This window comes from Homo sapiens, chromosome 6 (assembly GCF_000001405.40).
Source record: "Homo sapiens chromosome 6, GRCh38.p14 Primary Assembly".
Lineage (NCBI taxonomy): Eukaryota > Metazoa > Chordata > Mammalia > Primates > Hominidae > Homo > Homo sapiens.
In genome coordinates, this window is record NC_000006.12 from 124,341,443 (window position 1) to 124,357,443 (window position 16,001).

General features: G+C 38.6%; 1 protein-coding gene across 9 annotated transcripts in view, besides 1 other annotated feature; it reads left to right on the top strand.

Annotated features, from left to right (window-relative positions):
• The window catches only part of NKAIN2 (sodium/potassium transporting ATPase interacting 2), a 1,021,776-nt gene that overhangs the window by 537,578 nt on the left and 468,197 nt on the right, over positions 1-16,001 (top strand). For 7 of the 9 annotated variants that reach the window (XR_007059213.1, XR_007059215.1, NM_001300737.2 and 4 more), the window contains one exon: positions 13,825-13,905. The exons of the other annotated variants lie outside the window; for them this stretch is intronic. Coding sequence is in view for 3 of the 7 variants with exons in the window: in NM_001300737.2 (NP_001287666.1) it covers positions 13,825-13,905 (81 nt within the window). In the remaining 4 variants the exon portion in view is untranslated. The remainder of the gene's footprint in view (positions 1-13,824; positions 13,906-16,001) is intronic. 9 annotated transcript variants of the gene reach the window in all.
• Positions 7,029-7,528: an enhancer, noted in NCBI's record as "H3K4me1 hESC enhancer chr6:124669617-124670116 (GRCh37/hg19 assembly coordinates)". NCBI's record gives its function as "activates a minimal SCP1, AML or CMV promoter by ChIP-STARR-seq in naive H9 embryonic stem cells {active_cell/tissue: H9 hESC(naive)}" and the evidence as "EXISTENCE:reporter gene assay evidence [ECO:0000049][PMID:30033119]".

Consider the following 16,001-nt stretch of genomic DNA (forward strand, 5'->3'; position numbering starts at 1 on the left):
TACATTAAATATGGCATTTTCTCAATTTCCCTTTTTGATGCTCAAAATTTTAAATATTTTCTAGAATAAGAAATTTCTATAAAGGGGGAAAACAAATCTTATTTTAAAATGAATTAAACTTAATCATTAAAACATCTATGCAAATATAAAATCACAAGAAAGCTTGATCATATGACAGCAGCACTGATAAAAAATGAGAAGGTAGAAATCTGACTTCCTCTATGATCTGCAGCATAATCTATGATTAGAATTGGATTTCTGTCACACTCTGGCTGATAACCTTATCAGAACTTTTATCCCTGACAAACTAGAAGTTATAATAATAGTGTGTTTTTATGTAGGTGTTTTTCTTAAGGGACAGGTTTATATAGGTTGATTTAGATGTAACAGGATTTGTGAATTAGAACACAAGATTTACATCGTAATGTAGACTGCCATTGGTCCTAAAGGAAATAAGTTGCTTTATTTGGGCCACTTTTGCTCTTCATTTATCATAACAATAGGAAAAGAATAAGACCATGGTGAGAATGCCTAAACATTAAATGCTACTGCTATTGGAGATGAGAAAACTAAGCTGAAAATATAATTAACTTTGTACAAACGGTAAATATTGTCCTACTATTTTGACCAGGGATGTTTGTTTTATGAGTATACATTTATATCTATTAAAACACCTTGGCCAGGCACGGTGGCTCACGCCTGTAATCCCAGCACTTTGGGAGGCCAAGGCAGGCGGATCACGAGGTCAGAAGATCGAGACCATCTTGGCTGACATGGTGAAACCCCGTGTCTACTAAAAAAAAAAAATACAAAAAAATTAGCCAGGCGTGGTGGTGGGCACCTGTAGTCCCAGCTACTCAGGAGGCTGAGGCAGGAGAATGGAGTGAACCTGGGAGGCAGAGCTTGCAGTGAGCCGAGATTGCCCCACTGCACTCCAGTCTGGGTGACAGAGTGAGACTCCATCTCAAAAAAAAAAAAAACAAAACACCTTTATTATTAATATTAAAACACCTCATTGTTAAAAATTCTAAACCTTTTTCTTGCTTAAACAAGTCTTTTTTTGTTGTTTTTTCTTTTATTTTCAATACAGGGTCTTGCTCTGTCACCCAGGCTGAAGCACAGTGGGATGATCTTGGCTCACTGCAACCTCCAACTCCAGGGTTCAAGAGATCTTCCCACCTCAGCCTCCTGAGTAGCTGGGATTACAGGAACATGCCACCATGCCCAGCACATTTTTTGTATTTTTTGTAGGGACGGGGTTTCATCCTATTCTAGGCTGGTCTTGAACTCCTGGGCTAAGGATTTGCCCACTTCAGCCTCCAAAAGTACTGGGATTACAAGGATGAGCCACCACACCTGCCCAGAAGATGTTTTATTATTATTATTATTATTATTATTATTATTATACTTTAAGTTTTAGGGTACATGTGCACAATGTGCCAGTTAGTTACATATGTATACATGTGCCATGTTGGTGTGCTGCACCCATTAACTCATCATTTAGCATTAGCTATATCTCCTAATGCTATCCCTTCCCCCTCCCCCCACCCCACAACAGTCCCCAGAGTGTGATGTTCCCCTTCCTGTGTTCATGTGTTCTCATTGTTCAATTCCCATCTATGAGTGAGAACATGCGGTCTTTGGTTTTTTGTCCTTGTGATAGTTTACTGAGAATGATGGTTTCCAGCTTCATCCATGTCCCTACAAAGGACATGAACTCATCATTTTTTATGGCTGCATAGTATTCATGGTGTATATGTGCCACATTTTCTTAATCCAATCTATCATTGTTGGACATTTGGGTTGGTTCCAAGTCTTTGCTATTGTGAATAGTGCCGAAATAAACATACGTGTGCATGTGTCTTTATAGCAGCATGATTTATAGTCCTTTGGGTATATACCCAGTAATGGGATGGCTGGGTCAAATGGTATTTCTAGTTCTAGATCCCAGAGGAATCGCCACACTGACTTCCACAATGGTTGAACTAGTTTACAGTCCCACCAACTGTGTAAAAGTGTTCCTATTTCTCCACATCCTCTCCAGCACCTGTTGTTTCCTGACTTTTTAATGATTGCCATTCTAACTGGTGTGAGATGGTATCTCATTGTGGTTTTGATTTGTATTTCTCTGATGGTCAGTGATGATGAGCATGTTTTCATGTGTCTTTTGGCTGCATAAATGTCTTCTTTTGAGAAGTGTCTGTTGATATCCTTCGCCCACTTTTTGATGGGGTTGTTTGTTTTTTTCTTGTAAATTTGTTTGAGTTCATTGTAGATTCTGGATATTAGCCCTTTGTCAGAAGAGTAGTTTGCAAAAATTTTCTCCCATTTTGTAGGTTGCCTGTTCACTCTGATGGTAGTTTCTTTTGCTGTGCAGAAGCTCTTTAGTTTAATTAGATCCCATTTGTCAATTTTGGCTTTTGTTGCCATTGCTTTTGGTGTTTTAGACATGAAGTCGTTGCACATGCCTATGTCCTGAATGGTATTGCCTAGGTTTTCTTCTAAAGTTTTTATGGTTTTAGGTCTAAGGTTTAAGTCTTTAATCCATCTTAAATTAATTTTTGTATAAGGTATAAGGAAGGCATCCAGTTTCAGCTTTCTCCATATGGCTAGCCAGTTTTCCCAGCACCATTTATTAAATAGGGAATCCTTTCCCCATTGCTTGTTTTTCTCAGGTTTGTCAAAGATCAGATAGTTGTAGATATGCAGCATTATTTCTGAGGGCTCTGTTCTGTCACATTGATCTATATCTCTGTTTTGGTACCAGTACCATGCTGTTTTGGTTACTGTAGCCTTGTAGTATAGTTTGAAGTCAGGTAGCGTGATGCCTCCAGCTTTGTTCTTTTGGCTTAGGATTCACTTGGTGATGCGGGCTCTTTTTTGGTTCCATATGAATTTTAAAGTAGTTTTTTCCAATTCTGTGAAGAAAGTCATTGGTAGCTTGATGGGGATGGCATTGAATCTATAAATTACCTTGGGCAGTATGGCCATTTTCACGATATTGATTCTTCCTACCCATGAGCATGGAATGTTCTTCCATTTGTTTGTATCCTCTTTTATTTCATTGAGCAGTGGTTTTTAGTTCTCCTTGAAGAGGTCCTTCACGTCCCTTGTAAGTTGGATTCCTAAGTATTTTATTCTCTTTGAAGCAATTGTGAATGGGAGTTCACTCATGATTTGGCTCTCTGTTTGTCTGTTATTGGTGTATAAGAATGCTTGTGATTTTTGCACATTTATTTTGTATCCTGAGACTTTGCTGAAGTTGCTTATGAGCTTAAGGAGATTTTGGGCTGAGACAATGGGGTTTTCTAGATATACAATGATGTCATCTGCAAACAGGGACAATTTGACTTCCTCTTTTCCTAACTGAATACCCTTTATTTCCTTCTACTGCCTGATTGCCCTGGCCAGAACTTCCAACACTATGTTGAATAGGAGTGGTGAGAGAGGACATCCCTGTCTTGTGCCAGTTTTCAAAGGGAACGCTTCCAGTTTTTGCCCATTCAGTATGATATTGGCTGTGGTTTTGTCATAGATAGCCCTTATTATTTTGAGATACGTCCCATCAATACCTAATTTATTGAGAGTTTTTAGCATGAAGGGTTGTTGAATTTTGTCAAAGGCCTTTTCTGCATCTATTGAGATAATCATGTGGGTTTTGTCTTTGGTTCTGTTTATATGCTAGTTTACATTTATTGATTTGCGTGTATTGAACCAGCCTTGCATCCCAGGGATGAAGTCCACTTGATCTTGGTGGACAAGCTTTTTGATGGGCTACTGGATTCAGTTTGCCAGTATTTTATTGATGATTTTTGCATCAATGTTCATCAAGGATATTGGTCTAAAATTCTCTTTTTTGGTTGTGTCTCTGCCAGTCTTTGGTATCAGGATGATGCTGGCCTCATAAAATGAGTTAGGGAGGATTCCCTCTTTTTCTGTTGTTTGGAATTGTTTCAGAAGGAATTAGTACGAGTTCCTCCTTATACCTCTGGTAGAATTTGGCTGTGAATCCATCTGGTCCTGGACTCTTTTTGGTTGGTAAGCTATTGATTATTGCCACAATTTCAGATCCTGTTATTGGTCTATTCAGAGATTCAACTTCTTCCTGGTTTAGTCTTGGGAGAGTGTATGTGTCGAGGAATTTATCCATTTCTTCTAGATTTTCTAGTTTATTTGCGTAGAGGTGTTTGTAGTATTCTCTGATGGTAGTTTGTATTTCTGTGGGATCGGTGATGATATCCCCTTTATCATTTTTTATTGCGTCTATTTGATTCTTCTCTCTTTTCTTCTTTATTAGTCTTGCTAGCGGTCTATCAATTTTGTTGATCCTTTCAAAAAACCAGCTCCTGGATTCATTAATTTTTTGAAGGGTTTTTTATGTCTCTATTTCCTTCAGTTGTGTTCTGATTTTAGTTATTTCTGCCTTCTGCTAGCTTTTGAATGTGTTTGCTCTTGCTTTTCTAGTTCTTTTAATTGTGATGTTAGTGTGTCAATTTTGGATCTTTCCTGCTTTCTCTTCTGGGCATTTAGGGCTATAAATTTCCCTCTACACACTGCTTTGAATGTGTCCTAGAGATTGTGGTATGTTGTGTCTTTGTTCTCGTTGGTTTCAAAGAGCATCTTTATTTCTGCCTTCATTTCGTTATGTACCCAGTAGTCATTCAGGAGCAGGTTGTTCAGTTTCCATGTAGTTGAGCAGTTTTGAGTGAGTTTCTTAATCCTGAGTTCTAGTTTGATTGCACTGTGGTTTGAGAGACAGTTTTTTATAATTTCTGTTCTTTTACATTTGCTGAGGAGAGCTTTACTTGCAACTATGTGGTCAATTTTGGAATAGGTGTGGTGTGGTGCTGAAAAAAATGTATATTCTGTTGATTTAGGGTGGAGAGTTCTGTAGATGTCTATTAGGTCCGCTTGGTGCAGAGCTGAGTTCAATTCCTGGGTATCCCTGTCAACTTTCCGTCTCATTGATCTGTCTAATGTTGACAGTGGGGTGTTAAAGTCTCCCATTGTTATTGTGTGGGAGTCTAAGTCTCTTTGTAGGTCACTCAGGACTTGCTTTATGAATCTGGGTGCTCCTGTATTGGGTGCATATATATTTAGGACAATTAGCTCTTCTTGTTGAATTGATCCCTTTACCATTATGTAATGGCCTTCTTTGTCTCTTTTGATCTTTGTTGGTTTAAAGTCTGTTTTATCAGAGACTAGGATTGCAACCCCTGCCTTTTTTTGTTTTCCATTTGCTTGGTAGATCTTCCTCCATCCTTTTATTTTGAGCCTATGTGTGTCTCTGCATGTGAGATGGGTTTCCTGAATACAGCACAATGATGGGTCTTGACTCTTTATCCTATTTGCCAGTCTGTGCCTTTTAATTGGAGCATTTAGTCCATTTACATTTAAAGTTAATATTGTTATGTGTGAATTTGATCCTGTCATTATGATGTTAGCTGGTGATTTTGCACATTAGTTGATGCAGTTTCTTCCTAGTCTCAATGGTCTTTACATTTTGGCATGATTTTGCAGCAGCTGGTACCGGTTGTGCCTTTCCATGTTTAGTGCTTCCTTCAGGAGCTCTTTTAGGGCAGGCCTGGTGGTGACAAAATCTCTCAGCATTTGCTTGTCTGTAAAGTATTTTATTTCTCCTTCACTTATGAAGCTTAGTTTGGCTGGATATGAAATTCTGGCTTGAAAATTCTTTTCTTTAAGAATGTTGAATATTGGCCCCCACTCTCTTCTGGCTTGTAGAGTTTCTGCTGAGAGATCAGCTGTTAGTCTGATGGGCTTCCCTTTGTGGGTAACCCGACCTTTCTCTCTGGCTGCCTTTAACATTTTTTCCTTCATTTCAACTTTGGTGAATCTGACAATTATGTGTCTTGGAGTTGCTCTTCTCGAGGAGTATCTTTGTGGCGTTCTCTGTATTTCCTGAATCTGAATGTTGGCCTGCCTTGCTAGATTGGGGAAGTTCTCCTGGATAATATCCTGCAGAGTGTTTTCCAACTTGGTTCCATTCTCCCCGTCAGTTTCAGGTACACCAATCAGACACAGATTTGGTCTTTTCACATAGTCCCATATTTCTTGGAGGCTTTGTTCGTTTCCTTTTATTCTTTTTTCTCTAAACTTCCCTTCTCACTTCATTTCATTCATTTCATCTTCCGTCACTGATACCCTTTCTTCCAGTTGATCGCATCAGCTCCTGAGGCTTCTGCATTCTTCACGTAGTTCTCGAGCCTTGGCTTTCAGCTCCATCAGCTCCTTTAAGCACTTCTCTGTATTGGTTATTCTAGTTATACATTCATCTAAATTTTTTTCCAAGTTTTCAGCTTCTTTGCCTTTGGTTTGAATTTCCTCCTGTAGCTCGGAGCAGTTTGATCATCTGAAGCCTTCTTCTCTGCACTCGTCAAAGTCATTCTCCGTCCAGCTTTGTTCCGTTGCTGGTGAGGAACTGCGTTCCTTTGGAGGAGGAGAGGCGCTCTGCTTTTTAGAGTTTCCAGTTTTTCTGCTCTGTTTTTTCACCATCTTTGTGGTTTTATCTACTTTTGGTCTTTGATGATGGTGATGTACAGATGGGTTTTTGGTGTGGATGTCCTTTCTGTTTGTTAGTTTTCCTTCTAACAGACAGGACCCTCAGCTGCAGGTCTGTTGGAGTTTGCTAGAGGTCCACTCCAGACCCTGTTTGCATAGTTAGCAGCAGCATTGTCTGCAGAACCGTGGATTTTCGTGATCCGCGAATGCTGCTGTCTGCTTGTTCCTCTGGAAGTTTTGTCTCAGAGTTGTACCCGGCTGTGTGAGGTGTCAGTCTGCCCCCACTGGGGGGTGCCTCTCAGGCTGCTCGGGGGTCAGGGGTCAGGGGCCCACTTGAGGAGGCAGTCTGCCCGTTCTCAGATCTCCAGCTGCGTGCTGGGAGAACCACTGCTCTCCTCAAAGCTGTCAGACAGGGACATTTAAGTCTGCAGAGGTTACTGCTGTCTTTTTGTTTGTCTGTGTCCTGCCCCCAGAGGTGGAGCCTACAGAGGCAGGCAGGCCTCCTTGAGCTGTGGTGGGCTGCACCCAGTTTGAGCTTCCTGGCTGCTTTGTTTACCTAATCAAGCCTGGGCAATGGCGGGTGCCCCTCCCCCAGCCTCGCTGCTGCCTTGCAGTTTGATCTCAGACTGCTGTGCTAGCAATCAGCGAGACTGAGCCAAGATGGCCAAATAGGAACAGCTCCGGTCTACAGCTCCCAGCATGAGCGACGCAGAAGATGGGTGATTTCTGCATTTCCATCTGAGGTACTGGGTTCATCTCACTAGGGAGTGCCAGACAGTGGGCACAGGTCAGTGGGTGCAGTGCACCTTGCATGAGCCGAAGCAGGGCGAGGCATTGCCTCACTGGGGAAGCTCAAGGGGTCAGGGAGTTCCCTTTCCTAGTCAAAGAAAGGGGTGACAGACAACACCTGGAAAATCGGGTCACTCCCACCCCAATACTGTGCTTTTCCGACGGGCTTAAAAAACGGTGCACCAGGAGATTATATCCCACACCTGGCTCGGAGGGTCCTATGCCCAGGGAGTCTCGCTGATTGCTAGCAGTTGTTTTTAAGACAAGATTTGTTAGTACAATGTTCCTTAGGAGTGATTCTAACGTAGTTTATTAGAACTGATTATATTATTGTTGTAGGAAAAAACCGGGTTCTTATCAGAGGACCAGGATAATTTAGACACGTGGACATATTGTAGGGTGAGTAGGGCAGGGTTTATTGGGTGCAAAGGAAAAAAGGGAAACAGGAACCCTCAGCAAAGCAAGAGAGTCCTGTTAGCTGGTTTACCCCCTCACAGATTGAATCCCAGGTTACCACACAGGAAGAGGAGAGCCAGCCTGCTCCCCCCTACAAAGGCGGGAACTTCCCGAGGCTCCACCCCATTCTCCCAGTGCACAGGCCGGTTGGGTATTCTCCAGGGACCCCTTTTTACTTGGCTGCCTCATTATTACATTAAAATTAGCAGCATGATATCTGTGATATTGGTGAGCTGATACTAGTTTTGCATCCTAGTAGAAACAATCACACCTAAAAACATTCCTATAGATTGCATTAATTGTCAATCATTAATACATATAGATAATATTAGGAGAGTTACTCAGTTATATTCTGTAATATTTCCCTGTAGCTTCTGTTGCAGTCACTTGCATCCAGCTGGTATTTAATAAAAGTGAACTCATTCATGACTCACCTCCTTTTCTAATTAAGTTCTTAGTCTTATACTACCTTGGTCTACCTTTCTAATTATTGTATAACCCATGACATATAATAGGGCCATGTCTCTGAGCCTGACCAATATTTTGGCCTTTCATGATTAACAGCCTTAACTAATTTTTATCTTATATAGCTAATTTGATTTCATCATTGGAGCCACAAATACCACAGGGAAGCCATGATGATTCAATTACTTTTTTCAGCTGATAGTTTTAACCATTTCCCTGGATTCTCAAGTTAAGTTAATCTCTCAGATGGTTCACCTGGTGCTTCAGAAATCAATTCTTAAAAGTGAATTTTATCATACAATAGAATTTTTCTCTCATCACAGACAATATCTCAAAGTTTCTGTCTGAAACATAAAATATAAGATTTTCTTCACAAGAAAAAATGAGGCTAAAACAAAATTAGTTTTATAGCAGAAAACTACAAGTTAGGTGGTATCTAGCAATTGTGATACTTTATTATATTAGGTCATCTCTCCAGGGCAGAACATCTTTTCCAATTATACTCAAACTGCATCATTGTCAATTATATCACATCAACTAGTTGTAGCAACAGGGAAGAAGTTTGTACTGATCTTTATACTCTTAAATAACTATGCTGAGTAATTTTAAGAGCAGGGTTTATTGACAAAAATCATAGGCCGAATTACAAGGCAGTACAAAATCTCCATCAATGTTTAGGCAACTAGGCAAAATCCAATTACAGGATATTTGATATAGATAAGTGCCAGCTACTAAAATGAGAAAAAAAATGTAGAAAAGAATAAAAAAAGAAAATAGGATTAAGATAGGAGGTATAAGAAAGATAAATGAGAGAAAATTAATGAGGAAAGTTAAATGAGATAAATTAGATAAAGTCCTGCCTTTGGATAGTGATGCACAAGTAGCAATTACCCTCTGTAGCACTAGGGTGGATTTCTATGTTCATTAAAGGGGTTACACCAGTGTTTTTGGCAAATCTGTAATGAAGGATAGTGCATTGTGAGACTAACTGGATTGTAATGAAATATACAATTAAGTGAAAATAGTGAAAGTAAATGCAAGGATATGAAAGGAACATTTGCTATATTCTTTATGTACATATCCTTCTGAATTACTCTGGAAAAAAGAGGATAAAAAATTATATTCTACTCCAAAGTAATTGCCAATAAATACTGTCAAGAGGCAACTCATAGCTGCGCATGGTGGCACATGCCTGTAGTCCTAGCTATTCAAGAGACTGAGGCAGGAGGATCACTAGAGTCCAGGAATTCAAGGCTGCAGTGAGCTATGATAGCACCACTGCACTCCAGCCTTGGCAACAGAGTGAGACGCCTTCTCTAAAAAGTAAATAAATAAATAAAAATATTTTTAAAAAAGTAACTCATAAAACAAGACATAGAAAATGCTTTATAATTATGTGTTGCACTAAGTTAGAAATAATAAATTGTATTTTAGATCAAATGAAGGTTGGTTTCATGAAATAGCATTCGTCTATACATAATGGCGTTAATATATCAAAAACCCTTAATCTAGTGAATAATATGTTGCATTAAGTAAACAAGTCTAGTTTGCAAGTTCAATATGATGGAACAATGTTTTATATCAGTTAATATGAGAAGTTTGAGAGGCTGAGGCAGGCAGATAGCTTGAGCCCAGGAGTTTGAGACCAACATGGTGAAACTCTCTCTACAAAAAATACAACAAATTAGCCAGGCATGGTGATGCATGCCTGTAGTTCCAGCTACCCAAGAGGCTGAAGTGGAAGGATTACCTGAACCAGTGCAGTTGAGGCTGCAGTGATCCAAGGCCACTGCCTTCCAGCCGGGGTGGCAGAGTGAGATCCTGTCTCAAAAAAACCAAAAAAAAAAAAAAAAGAAAAGAAGAAGAAATCATGTGGGAAGTATATTTTGTAATATCCTAATAAATAAATCTTTGAGGATTACTGCTATTTTATTTATTTATTTATCTATTTATTCATTCGTTTATTTTGAGATGAAGTCTTGCGCTGTCACCCAGGCTGGAGTGAAGTGGTGCGATCTTGGCTCACTGCAACCTCTGCCTCCTGGGTTCAAGTGATTCTCTTGCCTCAAGCCTCCCTAGTAGCTGGGATTACAGGCGTCTGCCACCATGCCTGGCTAATTTTGTATTTTTAGTAGAGATGGGGTTTTGCCACGTTGGCCCACTGGTCTCAAACTGCTGACCTCAGGTGATCCACCCACCTCGGCCTCCCAAAGTGCTGATATTACAGGCCTGAGCCACCGCGCCCGACCCTACTGCTTATTATTTTAACAAGAAGAGATGATGATGTGACATAATCATCATAATAAAATGACAACATATAGTGAAAATTCAAGTATTGTGTACTTTCAAACAGTTGATCATTCCATTCCCATACAAGCCATGGAGTTTGCTACTACTAAGAAGCCTATTTTATATTTAAGTAAACTTAATTGTAATGGGTCATATCACTTGAAGATAGTCAAAGAGCATCCAAGTGACAGAGCCAGATGTTAGGTTCTGTGTTCTCATTCTCTATATGCTATTTATTTGCATGTAATCCATTACCTTTCATATGCTTTCATAAAATTATTAATTTTGGTGGCTAAAACATAAATGTTTCAACTTGATTTTTAACCAAACTAGGTATAATTTACATTTATACATACACATAAATGTAAGTAACTAAGTATAAATGAAGATTCCAAATTTTTATTATATTTTCAACATATAATACTGAAGTAGTGACTATTCCATATATACCATGTGAATACAGATAAACATGGTTAGCATTTAATAAGCATAAAATATAATTTTAGTTATGAAATTAAAAAGCTTCAGCATTGACATTTTTAAATACTATATTGGAAAGAATGCTTGCCGACGACAAATTTTCAGGAGAGTTTGATATGTGTAATACAGTGTCTTTCATTAGCTCATCAGCCATTGCTGAAGTCCTAGTATCCTGCTACTTTGACTTTTAGTAAATAGTGTTTATTTAGCTCTCCATTATAAATAATATGGGGAAAATATGTCATTGTGCACAAAGGAAGTGATAAAACATTATAATCAGTCATGCGTTTTCTATCTCTTGTAATCAGTTAAGTCATTGAAACAAACTTAAATGTCTCCTTAGATCTCTGTTCTATAACTGAAGTTCCTCTCTTGCTACAGCCTGCTTAGCCCCCTAATTCTGTCTCTAGACCCAGCCCTCAACTCATAGAGCTTCTCAAATTCCATATTTTGTCTTGGATCATTTAGTTTGCCCTAACATTATACTCTATTGAGCAACGCACACATTAAGCAGTTAGATGAAACCAACTCCTTTAGAAAACAGTTTTGAGTTATCATTTATTGTTACATAAACTCTTCACGTAGAGCTCTCACTCCTCATACTACATGAATGATCATAGTAAATCTGATAAAAACCGGGTCTGAGAGGGAAGAATGGGTTCTGAATCTGAAAATAATGATTTTCTCCATATTGCTACTTATTCATTGACTTACAAAACATTGTCTTAATAACTATTTTGTGCAAAGTACTAAGTTAGGAACCTAGGAATATAAACAAAAATTAAGAAGTAGTATTTTTAAGGAGATTACCACTGTGCATTGGAGAAAATATGCAAATAATCAGATATAAGACATTTCATATGAAATTAGGAGAAACAAAGTTTGTTGCAGCACTAAGCAGGGCTCAGCCAATTCTGGTTCGGAATCATGAGGGAGGTGATATTTGAATTAACCTTTTAAAAAAAATGATAGGTGGTAAGAAGAGAAAGTAAAAGTATTCAAGAATACAAGGATAATATACAAAGAGGCACAGGCCGGGCGTGGTGGCTCAATCCTGTAATCCCAGCACTTTGGGAGGCCGAGACGGGCAGATCACAAGGTCAGGAGATCGAGACCATCCTGGCTAACACGGTGAAACCCCGTCTCTACTAAAAATACAAAAAAATTAGCCGGGCATAGTGGCAGGCGCCTGTAGTCCCAGCTACTGGGGAGGCTGAGGCAGGAGAATGGCTTGAACCTGGGAGGAGGAGCTCTCAGTGAGCCGAGATCGCGCCACTGCACTCCAGCCTGGGCGACAGAGCGAGACTCCGTCTCAAAAAAAAAAGAGGCACAGAGGTGGGAAATAACTTTCCATCTACATGGAACAGCAAATAATATATGTGTCTGGAATCAAGGATGACTCCAGAGATCAACTGAAACACATGGCTCAAAAGGTAACAAGGTGCAAGATCATGATCATGATCATGGAGGTTCTTGAAGCATAAATTAAAGATGTTGGAACTCACCTAGAAAGGTTGGGAGCCATTGGCATTTGTTTAGAAGGGAAGTGACATGATATCCTCTTGTTTCACTTTTTCAGAATTCACACCTGCTCTTTCCTTTGTTTACAGGATCCTCCCATGAAAGCCCTTCCAACCCCGCATGCTTTTAAGTCCATTCGTTTTAAGCTTGATTCATCTCTTCTGGAAGGTGTTTCTTAACCTCTTTTGTTAAGCTTTGCAGACTCTTTTTCCCAGGACAGGTTATGTACTCCTCTCATTTTCCTGTCTTGTGCTCAGACTTTATATATTTTTATGATTCTTGTATAATAATGATCTATTTTTAAAAAGTCACTCTCATTTGATTTGAGTTCAGGAGGAATTCATCATTGGTCTTTGCATTCTCAGTGTCTTGCTAGCATGTTGCCTTCTGGATGCTTCATACATTTTAACTGACTGAATGATCAGAACTATGTCTTAGTAAGAAAATCTATCATCATTATAGAAGGTACACTAGAGAGAAAATAGAATAAATTTAGGGACACTAGTTAGATGGTCACTGTAATGGGAGATAGTGAAATGATAAAATAAGAAGGTGAATGGAGAAATGAAAAGGAGACACCAAAGAGAGAAAGCTGATTGGAATGGGACAGAGGCAGAAAGACTGATTTGATTATCCTTGACAACTTGGGGAAAGGTTGATCATTGTCCTACACGGAGATGGTTTTGCTAAGGAAACTGTGAGTCTTCTTTTGGTGGGTTGTATCAGACATATATGTTAGAGCACTGAATTTTTTAGATGTCTAGAAACTATAATTATTCACTTTTAAAACAATAATGTGGATTACTATTTTTTTTGTCTTAAAACCTAAAAATTTATCCTTAAGCAGGTTTGAGCTGTAATCCTATGAGTCCATAACAGTAAGAAAAAAAAAAAAAAAAAACTCAACAGTCCAGTCTGGCCAACATGACAAAACCCCATCCCTACTAAAAATACAAAAACTAGCTGGGTGTGGTGGTGCGCACCTGTAGTCCCAGCTATTCGGGAGGCTGAGGGTGGAGAATCACTTCAACCTGAAAGAAAGAGGTTACAGTGAGCCGAGATCATGCCACTGCACTCCAGCCTGGGCAACAGAGTGCGACTTTGTCATTAAAAAAAAAAAAGGAAAGAAGGAAAAAAAAATCTCAACAGAGATAAACGTACATCTAATCCTGTTCCTTAGAGAGAAGCAATATTTAACCTTTCCCACTAATCTTATATTAGGGTGTGCGAAAGTTCGTTTTATTTGAATCATACTCAACTGATTCCAAATTAATTATACGTTATTTCTCTCTTGCTTCTCTACAGTATGCTGTCTGGCTAGTCCTCTGGGTTACGTGGAATGTGTTTGTTATCTGCTTCTATTTGGAGGCTGGGGACCTCTCAAAGGTAATTTACATCTAATTTGCCTGAGTCATCAGTAGGGTGTTAACAAGTCTCTTCCTAAGTAAGGCAGAGTCTCATCCTGTTCTGCTTGCTTAGCTGCACCTCAATGAAAGTAAATTGAAAGGTGTCTTGATTTATATTTCTGCATTTTTATCATTAAAAATATGTCTGGTGAGTCACAAAAATGTACTTTTTCTTAAGCAAAACTAAGTGAACTGTTGCTTATTATAGTGACCAGGCAGTGCACTTTAAAACATTAACCACTGAATGATTTCTGAAGCAAAATGTGAATTTTTTTCAGAGAAAAAAATCTTGAAGATTTCTGAAATCACTTAGTTTGCTTATAACTCTGCTAAACATTGTCCTTATTGATTTTAAATAACAGTGCAATAATTGAAACAGTTAATGGGCTTTGGTTGAATGAAATTGTTACTAGAGGTATATAATATGTTATAGAAATGAATACAATCAACCCTTTATTCTAAATAGGCTAGGAAAACTAAATACTTGCTTTTTTCATTTAGTTTTTTTGTGCTCTGTATGTGTGCATCTTGCTACTATATTTTTCACATGGATGCCCTTACTACACAAATAGTGTAGGCTTCAGATCTCGAACACCATCATCCTTCTGTTAGAATGCAATTAACAGCAAAGAAGTCAAATGAGGTAATCCATTCAAGGTAGTAGCAAATTCTGACTCTTGAGAGAGTTTCAAACTTGTATGTACTTCCTCGTATTTAAAACTTTAAAACATAAAAATTGTAAAATGTTCTTTTACTTACCCTGTATTAGAGCAGAAGGCCCCTGCAAACATGTTGATATTTGTAAAACCCAGAGATACTCACGTGCTTTAAAAGACCAAGAGAGCTAAAAAAAATTTTTTTTAAAGAAAATTCCTCAGGAACTACCTTTGCCTTGTCAAGCTATATATTTTGGAAGGAGAGAGAAGAGAATGGTAATACACATTTATGATCTTACATGCAGGAGTTTCACAAAGCACTCATCATGTGATGTTTGTTTATTAGTTAACTGTGATATGTGGCTTTATATCAAGGAAAAATCATTTTGATTTGTTTTTATTCAATGACAAAAGATGAAGGATCAAATAGGAGGATGACATCATGATATGAGAGAGAACCAAAACTTCTTGGATGTGTAATTTTATGATCAGAATGTGGACAAGTCCTCACCGTGGCTAGCAAAATCTCCCTAGAGGATGCCATTTGTGTGTTTTTTGCAGGGCATCGTTCCCCACACTCTGGTTAGCAGGCAGCCTTTTCAGGAAGGTGCCGTGACCAATGAAAATAAATTGTTCAGTGGCTCTAGGAGGGACCCAGACCAGATTGCTGCTTAAAACTCACATTCGCCTCAGTGTAAGAAAAGCAGACACGCTTTTCCAAGGATTTGAATTCCTTGCCCAATTTATACATCTCTGCTACTCTATAATCCACTTTCTTCAAAGGAATTCCATAGTCGAATGACTTTTAATGATATTTTCAATTTTAAATAATCACCTTAAAAATTGTAAGGCAGGTGTTCAGACATATGGCCTGAGTAAAATGATCCAGCAGATCAGATAATTTGTTTAATATTAAGAAAAGAGAGAAAGAGATTTGAGCAAAGCTGGCTGCACAAAAGTTCTGTAATTGTGCTCACTGCTCCCCATGATGACTGCAGGCACAGAATAAAGCTGGTGATTTCATGACCTCAGACACAGGCATTGAAACCACAGCAAGGGCACTAAGAATTCTTCCAATGTACATGGGCAGATAATTTCTATCCCTTGGCAATGAAACAGTTGATAATATTTTATTTTCTTCTCATCCTATAAACCAAGGCTGGGCTCTGCAGAGCACATGAAAATTTAATAATTTCCTTTTTAACAAATAACCTAAAAAAAAACCATAAAGGGCAAAGTTATATAGTTATCGTTATATAGTTATCTGTACTGGGTTTTTCCTCTCTTTCGTGTTCAAAGCATTTGAAAAAAGGTGTATTTATACCATTTAATTCTTTAGTCGTTGCAACTGCCTCACATTCTTCAGGTAATACAGTGCCAGAAGGAAGCAATGGTAATTGGTAATGGAAAAATGTACAGA